Consider the following 14,784-nt stretch of genomic DNA (forward strand, 5'->3'; position numbering starts at 1 on the left):
TAACTCTAGATAGAATAAGAGGGTACATTTTCATGTAGGTACAGGGTAATGCAGGTAAAGCCTTTCCAGCGAGTTTGTTAGACCTGTAATGGCAATTCAGGGATCCTAGATTGGGAAAGCGGGATTCAGGAGTTCCCAGGTCAGTTAACATCTTGTCCCATCATGAGCTCAATTTGACATCCAGGATGTCAAATTCTATATCCAGAGTGAGTGTTGACAAAGCTCTTGGGGTACAATTTCCAATGCACAGCTCTTTTATTCTGGTTCTCTATTTTCAGGTCTATGGACTAGAGACAGGGTTTTTCTTTCTCATTCTCAGCATACAATGGAGGAAGAGAGGAGTAAATAACCAAAAATAGACACTACTGTTTACAAGAAAATGCTAAGGTGCTTCCTTCAATGCAATTTCCTAAAAAACATTGTAATATTTCTGTGTTTTTTAAATTGTCATTTAAAACACTATACAAGAGCCACACTCACAAATATCTTTGCAACTGACTCTTCTTGGGTTGGAGCTGAGAGTCCGTGTGTGTGCAGTGGGATAATTACCATAGGAGTCTTAGAATTATTTTTGTTTCATTGGTAGGATTTATGAAACACACTTTAAAATCTTTCTGAAGTCTTCTCAAAGGACCTTCCATTGACAACTTTGATATGACTTTTATTTCTGACACTTAAAGCATGTGGCATTGTCTTTAATATTAGAAGCTAGGTGACATTATTAACATTGAGAGTCTTTAGATCTTTGGAGAGACTGGAAAGGGAAACCAGTTTTATTTTTGGAACCAGCAAGTTTGGGCTGTTTTCTTTTTCTTTCTTTTTTTTAATTTTAGTAGTATATTTTATTTAACCCAATATATCTTAAATATTTTGATTTCAATAAGTATTCAGTATAGAAATTATTAAGATTCTGTACATTCTTTAGTTTTCTTTTTTCTTTTTTTAAAATTTTATTATTATTATACTTTTAAGTTTTAGGGTACATGTGCACAATGTGCAGGTTTGTTACATAGGTATACATGCGCCATGTTGGTGTGCTGCACCCATTAACTCGTCATTTAGCATTAGGTATATCTCCTAATGCTATCCCTCCCCCCTCCCCCCACCCCACAACAGTCCCCGGTGTGTGATGCTCCCCTTCCTGTGTCCATGTGTTCTCATTGTTCAGTTCTCACCTATGAGTGAGAACATGCAATGTTTGGTTTTTTCTCCTTGCGATAGTTTGCTGAGAATGATGGTTTCCAATTTCATCCATGTCCCTACAAAGGACATGAACTCATCCCTTTTTATGGCTGCATAGTATTCCATTGTGTATATCTGCCACCTTTTCTTAATCCAGTCTATCACTGTTGGACATTTGGGTTGGTTCCAAGTCTTAGCTATTGTGAATAGTACCACAATAAACATACGTGTGCATGTATCTTCATAGCAGCATGATTTATAATCCTTTGGGTATATACGCAGTAATGAGATGGCGGAGTCAAATGGTATTTCTAGTTCTAGATCCCTGAGGAACTGCCACACTGACTTCCCCAATGGTTGAACTAGATTACAGTCCCACCAACAGTGTAAAAGTGTTCCTATTGCTCCACATCCTCTCCAGCACCTGTTGTTTTCTGACTTTTTAATGATCGCCATTCTAACTGGTGTGATACGGTATCTCATTGTGGTTTTCATTTGCATTTCTCTGATGGCCAGTGATGATGAGCATTTTTTCATGTGTCTTTTGGCTGCTTAAATGTCTTCTTTTGAGAAGTGGCTGTTCATATCCTTCGCCCACTTTTTGATGGGGTTGTTTGATTTTTCTTCTAAATTTGTTTGAGATCATTGTAGATTCTGGATACTAGCCCTTTGTCAGATGAGTAGGTTGCAAAAATGTTCTCCCACTTTGTAGGTTGCCTGTTCACTCTGAGGGTAGTTTCTTTTGCTGTGCAGAAGCTCTTTAGTTTAATTAGATCCCATTTGTCAATTTTGGCTTTTGTTGCCATTGCTTTTGGTGTTTTAGACATGAAGTCATTGCCCATGCCTATGTCCTGAATGGTAATGCCTAGGTTTTCTTCTAGGGTTTTGATGGTTTTAGGACTAACATTTAAGTCTTTAATCCATCTTGAGTTAATTTTTGTGTAAGGTGTAAGGAAGGGATCCAGTTTCAGCTTTCTCCATATGGCTAGCCAGTTTTCCCAGAGCCATTTATTAAATAGGGACTCCTTTCCCTATTGCTTGTTTTCATCAGGTTTGTCAAAGATCAGATGGTTGTAGATATGCGGCAATATTTCTGAGGGCTCTGTTCTGTTCCATTGATCTATATCTCTGTTTTGGTACCAGTACCATGCTCTTTTGGTTACTGTAGACTTGTAGTATAGTTTGAAGTCAGGTAGCATGATGCCTCCGGCCTTTGTTCTTTTGGCTTAGGATTGACTTGGAAATGCAGGCTCTTTTTTGGTTCCACATGAACTTTAAAGTAATTTTTTTCCAATTCTGTGAGAAAGTCATTCTTAGCTTGATAGGGATGGCATTGAATCTATCAATTATCTTGGGCAGTATGGCCATTTTCATGATATTGATTCTTCCTACCCATGAGCATGGAATTTTCTTCCATTTGTTTGTATCCTCTTTTATTTCATTGAGCAGTGGTTTGTAGTTCTCCTTGAAGAGGTCCTTCACATCCCTTGTAAGTTGGATTCCTAGGTATTTTCTTCTCTTTGAAGCAATTGTGAATGGGAATTCACTCATGATTTGGCTCTCTGTTTGTCTGTTATTGGTGTATAAGAATGCTTGTGATTTTTGTTCATTGATTTTGTATCCTGAGACTTTGCTGAAGTTGCTCATCAGTTTAAAGAGATTTTGGGCTGAGACAATGGAGTTTTCTATATATACAACCATGTCATCTGCAAACAGGGACAATTTGACTTCCTCTTTTCCTAGTTGAATACACTTTATTTCCTTCTCCTGTCTGATTGTCCTGGCCAGAACTTCCAACACTATGTTGAATAGGAGTGGTGAGAGAAGGCATGCCTGTCTTGTGCCAGTTTTCCAAGGGAATGCTTCCAGTTTTTGCCCATTCAGTATGATATTGGCTGTGGGTCTGTCATATATGGCTCTTATTATTTTGAGATATGTCCCATCAGTACCTAATTTATTGAGAGTGTTTAGCATGAAGGGTTGTTGAATTTTGTCAAAGGCCTTTTCCGCATATTGAGATAATCATGTGGTTTTTGTCTTTGGTTCTGTTTGTACGCTGGATTACATTTACTGATTTGCATATGTTGACCCAGCCTTGCACCCCAGGGATGAAGCCCACTAGATCATGGTGGATAAATTTTTTGATGTGCTGCTGGATTTGGTTTGCCAGTATTTTATTGAGGATTTTTGCATCAATGTTAATCAAAGATATTGGACTAAAATTCTCTTTTTTGGTTGTGTCTCTGCCAGGCTTTGGTATCAGAATGATGCTGGCCTCATAAAATGAGTTAGGGAGGATTCCCTCTTTTTCTATTGATTGGAATAGTTTCAGAAGGAATGGTACCAGTTCCTCCTTGTACCTCTGGTAGAATTCGGCTGTGAATCCATCTGGTCCTTGACTTTTTTTGGTTGGTAAGCTATTGATTATTGCCACAATTTCAGATCCTGTTATTGGTCTATTCAGAGATTCAACTTCTTCCTGGTTTAGTCTTGGGATGATGTATGTGTCGAGGAATTTATCCATTCCTTCTAGATTTTGTAGTTTATTTTCATAGAGGTGTTTTGGTATTCTCTGATGGTAGTTTGTATTTCTGTGGGATTGGTGGTGATGTCCCCTTTCTCATTTTTTATTGCATCTATTTGCTTCTTCTCTCTTTTCTTCTTTATTGGTCTTGCTAGCAGTCTATCAATTTTGTTGATGTTTTCAAAAAACCAGCTCCTGGATTCATTAATTTTTTGAAGGGTTTTTTGTGTCTCTATTTCCTTCAGATCTGCTCTGATTTTAGTTATTTCTTGCCTTCTGCTAGCTTTTGAATGTGTTTGCTCTTACTTTTCTACTTCTTTTAATTGTGATGTTAGGGTGTCAATTTTGGATCTTTCCTGCTTTCTTTGTGGGCTTTTAGTGCTACAAATTTCCCTCTACACACTGCTTTGAATGTGTCCCAGAGATTCTGGTATGTTGTGTCTTTGTTCTCACTGGTTTCCAAGAACATCTTTATTTCTGCCTTCATTTTGTTATGTACCCAGTAGTCATTCAGGAGCATGTTGTTCAGTTTCCATGTAGTTGAGCCATTTTGAGTGAGTTTCTTAATCCTGAGTTCTAGTTTGATTGCACTGTGGTCTGAGAGACAGTTTTTATAATTTCTGTTCTTTTACATTTGCTGAGGAGTGCTTTACTTCCAAGTATGTGGTCAATTTTGGAATAGTTGTGGTGTGGTGCTGAAAAGAATGTATATTCTGTTGATTTGGGGTGGAGAGTTCTGTAGATGTCTATTAGGTCTGCTTGGTGTTTTGATATATTGTGTCATTATTGTTGTTCAGTTCAATGAATTTTTTAATTTCCATCTTGATTTTGTTTTTGTGGCAATGCTCATTCAGGAGCACGTTTTTAAATTATAATGCATTTGCATGGTTTCAAAGGCTCCTTTTTGTGTTGATTTCCAGTTTTGTTCCACTGTGATCTGAGAGAGTGCTTGATATAATTTCAGTTTCCTTAAATTTATCAAGGCTCATTTTATGGTCTATCTTATGGTCTGTCTTGGAGAAAGTTCTGTGTGCTGCTGAATCGAAAGTGTCTTCTGTGGTTGTTGGATGAAATGTTCTGTATATATCATCTGCTAATCCCATTTGTTCCCAGGTATAGTTTACATCCATTGCTTCTTTGTAGACTTTCTGTTGATGACCTGTCCAGTACTGTCATTGGAATATTCAAGACTCCCACTATTATTGTGTTGCTGCCTATGTCATTTCTTAGGTCTATTAGTAATTGTTTTATAAATTTGAGAGTTCCAGTGTTAGGTGCACATATATTTAGGATTGTGATATTTTCCTGTTGGACAAGTTGCTTTACCATTATATAATGTCCTGCTTTGTCTCTTTTATCTGCTGTTGCTTTAAAGTTTGTCTGATATAAGCATAGCTACCCCTGCTTGCTTTCTTTTGGTGCCCATTTGCATGACATGCCTTTTTCCGCATCTTTACTTTTATTTTATGTGAGTCCTTATGTGTTAAGTGAGTCTCCTGAAGGCAGCAGATGGTTGGTGAGTTCTTATCCATTCGGCAGTTCTGTATCTTTTAAGTGAAGCATTTAGGCCAGTTACATTCAATGTTAATATTGAAATGACAGCACCATCACATTCATTGTGCTCTTTGTTGCCTGTGTACTTTGGTTCTTTTGTTTTTGCTTTTTAACGTATTTTTGTTTTACAGGTCCTGTGTGATTTATGCTTTAAAGAGTTTCTGTTTTTTGGTGTTTTCAGGTTTGTTCCAGGATTTCAAGCTCCTTTTAGCAGTTCTTGTAGTGGTGGCTTGGTAATGGCAAACTCTTTCAGGATTCGTTTGGCTGAAAAAGACTGTCTTTCCTTGATACATGATGCTTAGTTTTTCTGGATACAAAATTTTTGGTCGATAATTGTTTTCTTTGGGGAGGCTGAAGATAGAGCTCCAATCCCTTCCGCATTGTAGGGTTTCTGCTGAGAAATCTGCTCTTAATCTGATAGGTTTTTCTGTATAGGTTACCTGGAGCTTCTGTCTCACAGCTCTTAAGATTCTTTCCTTTGTCTTAACTTTGGATAACCTGGTGACAATGTGCTTAGGCCAAGACCTCCTTGTGAGATGAATTTCCTGGTGTTCTTTTTGCTTCTTGTACTTGGATGTCTAGGTCTCTAGCAAGGCTGGGGAAGTTTTCCTCTATTATTTTCCCAAAGATGTTTCCCAAGTTTTTAGAATTTTCTTTTTCCTCAGGAACACTGATTATTATTTGGTTTGGCCATTTAATGAAGTTCAAGACTTCTTGGGGGCTTTGCTCATATTTTCTTATTCATTTTTCTTTGTCTCAGTTGGATTAGGTTAATTCAAACACCTTGTCTTCGAGCTCTGAATTTCTTTCTTCTACTTGTTCAATTCTATTTCTGAGTATTTCTAGAGCATTTTACATTTTTAACAGTGTGTCCAAAGTTTCCTGAATTTTTGAATGTTTTTTTCTTTAAGCTATATATTTCTTTGAATATTTCTCCATTCACTTCTTGTATCCCATTTTGGATTTCCTTGCATTGGGCTTCACCTTTCTCTGGTCCCTCCCTAATTTGCTTAATAACTAACCTCCTGAATTCTTTTTCAGGAAAATCAGGGATTTCTTCTTGGTTTGGATTAATTGCTGGTGAACTAGTGTGATTTTTTGGGGGTGTTGAAGATCCTTGTTTTCTCATATTACCAGGGTTGGTTTTCTGGTTCCTTCTCATTGGCGTAAGCTCTGCCAGATGGAAGGTCTAGGGCTGGAGGCCGTCATTCAGAATTTTTTTTGTCCCAGGAGGTGTTCCCTTGATGTAGTATTTTTCACGTTTTCCTGTGGATGTTGCTTCTTGTGAGCCAATCTACAGTGATGTTTGTCTCTCATCTGGGTGTAGCCACCCAGAGAGTCTACCCTGCTCTGGGCTTGCACTGAGGTTGTCTGCAGAGTTGTGTGAATGAACCATCTATGGATCTCTCAGCCATGGATACCAGCGCCTGTTCCAGTGGAGGTGGCGGAGGGTGCAATGGACTCCATAGGGCTCCTTAGATTTGGTGGTTTAATGCTCTATTTTTGTGCTTGTTGGCCTCTGCCAGGAGGTGGCACTTTCCAGAAAGCATCAGCTGTAGTATTGTGGAAAGGGAAAGGCTGTGGGTGAGGCCCTAGAACTCCCAAGATTATATGCCCTTTGTCTTCCGCTACCAGTGTGGATAGGGAAGGACCATCATTTGGGGGTGGGGCTAGGCATGTCTGAGCTCAGACTCTCCTTTGGTGGGTCTGGCTGTGGCTGCTGTGGGGGATGGGTGTGATATTCTGAGGTCATTGGTTTGTGTACCTAGGAAGATTATGGGTGCCTCTGCTGAGTCCTGCAGGATGTCAGGGAAGTGTGGGAAAGCAAGCAGTCATGGGCCTCACCCAGTTCCCATGCAAACAGAAGGAGAGGTCTCACTCACACCGTGTCCCCCATAGTAATCTGAGTCTGTTTCTAGGTGGAGGGCAAGTAGGGCTTGAAAACTTGCCCAAGGCTTTCTGTCTCTCAGGTGTGGAAAAAAAGGGATTTATTTCTTCCCTGACCTGTGAAGTCTGCATACCAGATTTGAGCCCTCCCCCGAGTTCTGGCCAGGAGGTTTCTCATCCCATTCAAATAGTTACAAAGTTCAGCTTGAGAAGTCCTTCTCTCTGGGGAGTTTCACTGCTTGCTCCTCTGGCCACCCTCCTGATGGATCCCTGTGGTGCCAGACAGGAATGGGCTGCTTGGGGATCCAGTGAGCCCCCAGGGCCTTTCTGCTGTTTCCTCTACCCCTGTATTTTTCTTGGCTTGGCTCTCTAACTTGACTCAGCTCCAGGTAAAGTCAGGAATTTCTCCTGCAAACCGACCTTCAGCTTCTCTAGTGCAGGTGTGTGTTCGGGAGAGGAGGGTCTCCGTTTCCCACTTCTCCAATTACGGCACTCACAGTATTTGAGGTGTCTCCTGGGTCCTGCAGGAGCAGTCTGCTTCTTTCAGAGGGTTTGTGGGTCCTCTCAGGATGACTGGTGTGTTGTTGTAGTCATTCTGGAGCTAAAATTCACAGTGCAAGCCTCCGTAAGCTGCTCTTTCCAGAGCTGCAATCTAGTCCTGCCTCCTATCCACCATGATCCCTGAAATCCTCAGTATTAAAAATACCTGGCAGTACCTAACATGCTGATATAGTTTGGCTTTGCCTGTGCCCAAATCTCATATTGAATTGTAGTCCCCATTATCCCCATGTGTTGTGGAAGGAACTAGGTGGAGGGTATTTGAATTATGAGGTGGTTTCCCCCATGTTGTTCTCTTGATCATGAGTGAGTTCTAATGAGATCTGATGGTTTCATAAGTGTCTGTCATTTCTCCTGCTGTCGCTTCTTCTCCCTCCTGCATCATCTGATCTAACAAACACTTTTGTGTCATTCTGAAAAGTGGGAAGAATTAGTGGTTATTTGAATTCAGCTAGAAGGGACATACAGAATTTTGGTTTATTTTCATATTAGTTGTCCATCTTGGAGTCATAATTTAATCCATGGTATCTTTGATCATATCTGATAGTTCTTCAGAATTATACGTTTGTGCATCTTTTACCACTTACAAGTAAGAGAGCGCAGTGCTTACAGACATAGTCTTTAAATTTTAGAAGTGATACAGATTACATTTGGTGTGGATGAATTTCATCCATGTATTAGGTAAGTTGAAAATGACCAACTTTTAGTGGAGCCCAATACATGATAAACTCATTAGCTGGTTCAGATATGTATTTATGGGACTCTGTATCTAACACTCTTATGACACAGAAGATCCAATATTTAACTAAACATATGATGAGATGAACGTGTTCAATGGAGCCAATGGTAAGCCAAGTCACGGAAATAACAATGGAAGCCCTTAAGCATTGCTCCCTTGTTGAAAAATACAAATTTCTTTATTGTAGAAACAGTTACTGAATTGATGTTGGAATACAATTATTAAGTAACTGAATTAATGGACTATAGATCATTATGGTTATATCTGACATAGATTCAGGCCTTGATCAAAAGCCTTTACTCTGATCTAAAACTGCAGAACTATGATTACCTGCTTTTTCAAGAATCAGAATGTCAAATTCTGTTCTTAGGCTGCCTGCCTCTGAGCCTCAGGACTTCTTGGGCATGGAATTTCTAACAGGAAATGTAAAGCCCTTCTTTTTGGGAATGTGCTTAGGGTAAAGAACCTGGGACTGGTTCCCCCTTCATTCTGGCTTAAATATTACTTGCCTTACCTCAGTATTTCATAAAGTGAAACTCATAATTTTTGTTCAATTTATTTTAAAATTTTTCTTTTCACATTATAGGCTTTTCACATTACTTGGCATTTAGCTACTCTTCCTTGGTGATGCCCAAATCTTTTCCCTCTAGGGAGTTTCTAGGGGGAAAAAAAGATGTTCGGAGAGTTTACTTCATTTGAATTTATTCCAAATAATGAAATTAACTAACCTATAATGACCTTACACTCTCTTTTATTTAAAATACGATGATGCAAAAGTCATAGATTGTGTCTACACACATAAATGGAAATATTATTTTCCTGATAGAATAACCCAAGAGATATCTGAAGAGTTAAATTTCTACCCAAGGTAGAGCATGTCTTCATTTGGTATCTAGTCCTTTAGGTGTGGTGTTTTCTTGTCATATCCTCCATGTTGTGTAAAAATTTGTTAAAGTTCTCAATGTACTGGGCTGAGGTGGGGAGATATAAAGACATGATTTTAATTAGGAAAGAAGTAGATTTAGGGGTACGCTATTGGAATTATATCTGAATGACCGAAAAACTGAAGAGTTTGGCTTCTGCCTGTGAGAAAGTTCTGTCATTGTTTTTTCCATAAAGTTAAATTTCAGCATTGTCCTTGTTAGGTACAAAGCTTAATAGCTGGGCACATGAATGTTATCATAAATCCTCAATCACAGTAAAGTACTTATGGTTACTTCACCATAATTGAGGAAACTTTCATGTAACAAATTTTAGTGTTGGTATATTTTTGTTCACTTGTGTCACAAAATAAGGGTCTTGTCCAGGTTAATTTTCATTAATTAGGTCAATTTTTACATAGTCATGCAATGATAATATTTTTGGTTTTTTATGAAGAAATTTTCCAGCAGGTGAGATTATTTAACTACCTTTGTGTATTATGTTTAAGCCTCTTTATATTTTGGTCATCTGCTTTGGATATTTCCATACCTCTGTAACAACTGAGATAATGAGAATCCTGTGTGGAATTGTGGAAACTGTAGCCATTAGAAACTAGTTCTCTAACCCTGGATCAGTCATTCATATTTACATGTTCTGTGATCACAAATAGGTGCATGAGATGTCTACATTAACACTCAGTGAAAGAAGCATTGCTTTTCTGGATTACAGTGTGAGCATTTGAAACCAGTGACAGGAGATATTCATTGAAAATTCTTGTGATATGAGGAAATGTAGCTAATATCTTAAATACCATATGATATTGTTGAAGGAATTTAATTGGGAAAGTTAGCCAGGAAACATGAAAACTTTTTGGAACATACAATGTATATTTGGTTTTAATATATAGCCTAATTTATTTTTCTTCTTTTCTATTTGTTAAATAAAAAAAAAGTTCCATACTACATGCTTAATAAACCAATAGATTTATAATTATAATCTTAATTTTTGAGATGTTGTATTTTATATGATATATTAATAAAAGTGTACAATTACTTTCAGATATATTTGATTAGGGAGTTTAAAATTGCAGATCATGTCAAGTGTGTTAGAGTGTGAAGGAACCAATGCCTGTTATGTTCTGGAAGCATAATATGGGTTTTTACTTACGAATCTAAAAAATCCCAGCAAACATACTAGTAGATAAATATGCTGAGGAAAGTATCTAGTCTACTGTCATTTAAATAGATTTATAAAACTATGATTGTGAAATATAATATTATAGAGGTTTTCTGTTATTATGGGATTTTATCTTTTGAAAATATCATGTTCTTAGGAAACTATGTTAAATCATGTTTTTCTAGAAAAACTTTAACTTAGCAGTTTACATTGAAAGTCTTGTAATCCTATCTTTCAGTTTCTAAAGTATTCCATTTGTAATTACTTACTTAAACTACAGAGGACGGTTTACTCACCCTATTTTTTACAAGTAAACATTTAAATTGCCAAAGGATTATCCTGTTGAAATCTAGTTTTCATGATGGAAGAGGGAAAAGGCACTAAACCTTGCAGCAAGTAAGGTGTGAAAAAAATAACAGAATTGGCTATAGACTACATTATTCCCTTGTGTTCTTCAGCAGTTGCCTCTCTGTCAGTCTATAGCTTCAACAATGACAGAACTCTGGAATCAGCTGGAAATGGTAACGTGGGGCATGTGGAATGTTCATCACAGCTGACTTCTAGAGACAGCCCAAACTCTCTCTGCACACCTCCTCTTCCACTACCAGATCTATGTAAATGGAACCATCCTGTCTACATTTGAGGTTTAGTAATTCTGCAGCTTTCCTCAGCAGTGAAGAATCAGAAAGTCTGGGTTTGTATCTCTACTTGTCCCATTGTTCTCTGTAATTGGTTTGTCCTTAACCATCAGTACTAGAGACTTAAGAGTAACAATGCGTGTTTTTCTTTTCTTTTCTTTTCTTTTTTCTTTTCTTTTCTTTTCTTTTCTTTTCTTTTCTTTTCTTTTACTAGTATCTGGTTTGTTTTTGTTACATCTACCCCAAAAAGCCTCCTGAGTCACCCCACGGACCGACAGGAGGTTTCACTTCCAGCATTTTCTCACTAAAAGGAATCTTTCTGAAGAGAATTTTAAAAGAATAATAATCTCACTTAATTACTTAATTGTCCCATTAACCTTCTTATTGCTTGTGGATACTCATTTGTTAACTATGATTTCTCTGTTTTCTTATTTTAGTCTTCTTTTCATTCCCTGAGCTCCCTCTGATGGTGGGTCCAAATTTTTACTATACTTCTGCTTGCTTTTCACTAAGATACGTTCCATCACAGGTAAAATTACTACTCACATAATTAAATCATTATTTTCTAAGACATAGAGTTTTATTGTTTGGCCATAACAGGCTTTCCTGAATTGTACGTATCTTATCCTTTTTTTTTCCTGGACTACGTCTATAAATCTTTTCAAGTTGACAGAGATCTGAATAATTTGTTCTGATTCTGTGTTCACAGTGAAGCATTCAAAAACAGTAATAATAGCTATCATTTATTGAGTCCTTCCCAGGTGCCAGCCAGTGTTCTAGGCACTTTACTTTGTTTTAATAAAACGACAACTCTAATAGGTAAGGGTTGTTGGACTCCTCATTTTAAAAATGATGCAAGTAAGGGATAGAGAGCTTTAGTAAATGGCCCAAACTCTCATAAAAAGTGGTGAACTTGAGGTTGTAGCTGAAGCAGTGTGGCTCCAGTGTCCACATTATTCACCACATGCTACACTTTCTCTCCAAAGATGTCTTGGATCTTAAATAGGTACATGCTGAATGAGACACGTATAGTCACTATTTATTCACTGTAATCATGAAACCCCATGTCCCACTGACTACCATTTTTCATGTAAACGTCATGAGCTTGGAAATTTTTATTTAATTATAAATTTATAAAAAATGAAAAACAAATTGTCAGCAGAATATCATAAAAGAGAGGTGCATGAATAGTTCTGTAGATAATTGACTAGAAAGGATTCTGAATTTCTCAAATTTAATCCCATTGTTTTCCAGTGAGCAAACTGAGGCAGACTTGTAAATGTATTCAGAATCAAATCCGTGCCTTCTTACACTGAACTTGGAATTTCTCTTAGAGTATGATTCTTTTTGAAATCTTGTAACTAAGATTACATTTTTGAGTACTCTTGGTATCTAAATTGTGTTATGAATAAAACCATGTCCCTCTTTCTACAGTGTCTATTTTCTTCTATCTCACTAACTAGCTCCTCCCAAGAATTCAGAAAAAAGTACTAACTGCTTATTCGGTAGTTAGTGACAGTCATGAGTTAGTTCACTTGAGTTCAAAATTAATTGCTGAAAATTAGGATATTGTATATATGTGTTGTAAAAATTTGTGTACAGGCAAGGATAAAATGGACAGAATCACAGATCCTTATAAAGAGAACAGAGAGTCACATCAAGTAATTGCTACAAGGAACAATGTGATAAATAATGTCATAGCATTTATACAGTTCAGAGTCTTGTCTTTTGACATTTAATGAAAGACTAATGAACATCCTTTGAGGCATGAAGGAATGAAGTTCTAGCAGTAGAAGGTCAGAGTACTGAGTGAGATATTCCAGAAGAGATTATTCTTGGTGCTATACAGATTATATTACAAAGATACCACAAGTACAAACATAAAGGACTAAATCTATGTCAATTTATTTATTTAGAGTTTATTACCACCACCAGAGAGTAAGTTTCTTGAGATGAAGGACCCATTGCCTATTCATCACAGCTGACTTCCATGCCAATAAAATGTTTTAAATCAGAAATTATGAAATGTACAAATGGCTGTTGGGACTTTAACTGTTCTTCTATATAGAATATTCACTAAAACTTAGAGGTAGAAGCCTTTACCTGTGCACTGAAACTAAAATATTTGAGGAGAAATAGAATCATCAGGGCAAGATGGGCTCTTTGGGTGAGGAACTCAATAGAGACTTACTAAATATTTATTATGTGTAAATCACTATTCAGGATACAGCAATGAAGATGTGCCCTGTGACACAATGGATGTAATCATATTCCTGATCACTATTTCGTTACAGGCCCTGTTTCCCTGAGCTCTCACCTCTGATACAAGCCTTAAAGAAGAGTAAATGAGACAGAATAACAATATTACAGAATTTGTCCTCCTGGGCTTTTCTCAGGATCCTGGTGTGCAAAAAGCATTATTTGTCATGTTTTTACTCACATACTTGGTGACAGTGGTGGGGAACCTGCTCATTGTGGTGGATATTATTGCCAGCCCTTCCTTGGGTTCCCCAATGTATTTCTTCCTTGCCTGCCTGTCATTTATAGATGCTGCATATTCCACTACCATTTCTCCCAAGTTAATTGTAGGCTTATTCTGTGATAAAAAGACTATTTCCTTCCAAGGTTGCATGGGCCAGCTATTTATAGACCATTTCTTTGGTGGGGCTGAGGTCTTCCTTCTGGTGGTGATGGCCTGTGATCGCTATGTGGCCATCTGTAAGCCACTGCACTATTTGACCATCATGAATCGACAGGTTTGCTTCCTTCTGTTGGTGGTGGCCATGATTGGAGGTTTTGTACATTCTGCGTTTCAAATTGTTGTGTACAGTCTCCCTTTCTGTGGTCCCAATGTCATTGTTCATTTCAGTTGTGACATGCACCCATTACTGGAACTGGCATGCACTGACACCTACTTTATAGGCCTCACTGTTGTTGTCAATAGTGGAGCAATCTGTATGGTCATTTTCAACCTTCTGTTAATCTCCTATGGAGTCATCCTAAGCTCCCTTAAAACTTACAGTCAGGAAAAGAGGGGTAAAGCCTTGTCTACCTGCAGCTCCGGCAGTACCGTTGTTGTCCTCTTTTTTGTACCCTGTATTTTCATATATGTTAGACCTGTTTCAAACTTTCCTACTGATAAGTTCATGACTGTGTTTTATACCATTATCACACACATGCTGAGTCCTTTAATATATACGTTGAGAAATTCAGAGATGAGAAATGCTATAGAAAAACTCTTGGGTAAAAAGTTAACTATATTTATTATAGGAGGAGTGTCCGTCCTCATGTAGGTAAGGAGGTATGTAGTCAAGGTCTTCCCAGTGAAGTTTTCAGGTTTCTAAGGGCAAGTCAAGGATCCCAAAGAAAGAAGACAGGATTTGGATGCTCCTAGCTCAATTACAAAGTCATCCCATCATGACATCTGATTGAAGTTCAAGATCTCAACTTCTACATCGAGACTGAGTGTGGATGGGGCTCCTTGGGGGCGGGTTTTACTGTGCACATTTTAAATTATGGCTTTTACTATTTACAGATCTTTGAGACAGGGTATTTCCTCCACATTCTCAGCACACAATGGAGAAAGAGAGGAATAGGTAATAAAA

The 14,784-nt window shown here is 37.8% G+C and overlaps 1 protein-coding gene across 1 annotated transcript; it reads left to right on the forward strand.

The window, feature by feature from the left end:
• On the forward strand, positions 13,472-14,542 carry OR4A5 (olfactory receptor family 4 subfamily A member 5). Its single transcript, NM_001005272.3, has one exon. The coding sequence runs from the start codon at positions 13,525-13,527 to the stop codon at positions 14,470-14,472; it is 948 nt and encodes a 315-aa protein (NP_001005272.3). The 5' UTR covers positions 13,472-13,524; the 3' UTR covers positions 14,473-14,542.
• Positions 14,543-14,784: the final 242 nt, after the last annotated feature.

Source organism: Homo sapiens, chromosome 11, assembly GCF_000001405.40.
Source record: "Homo sapiens chromosome 11, GRCh38.p14 Primary Assembly".
Taxonomy (NCBI): domain Eukaryota; kingdom Metazoa; phylum Chordata; class Mammalia; order Primates; family Hominidae; genus Homo; species Homo sapiens.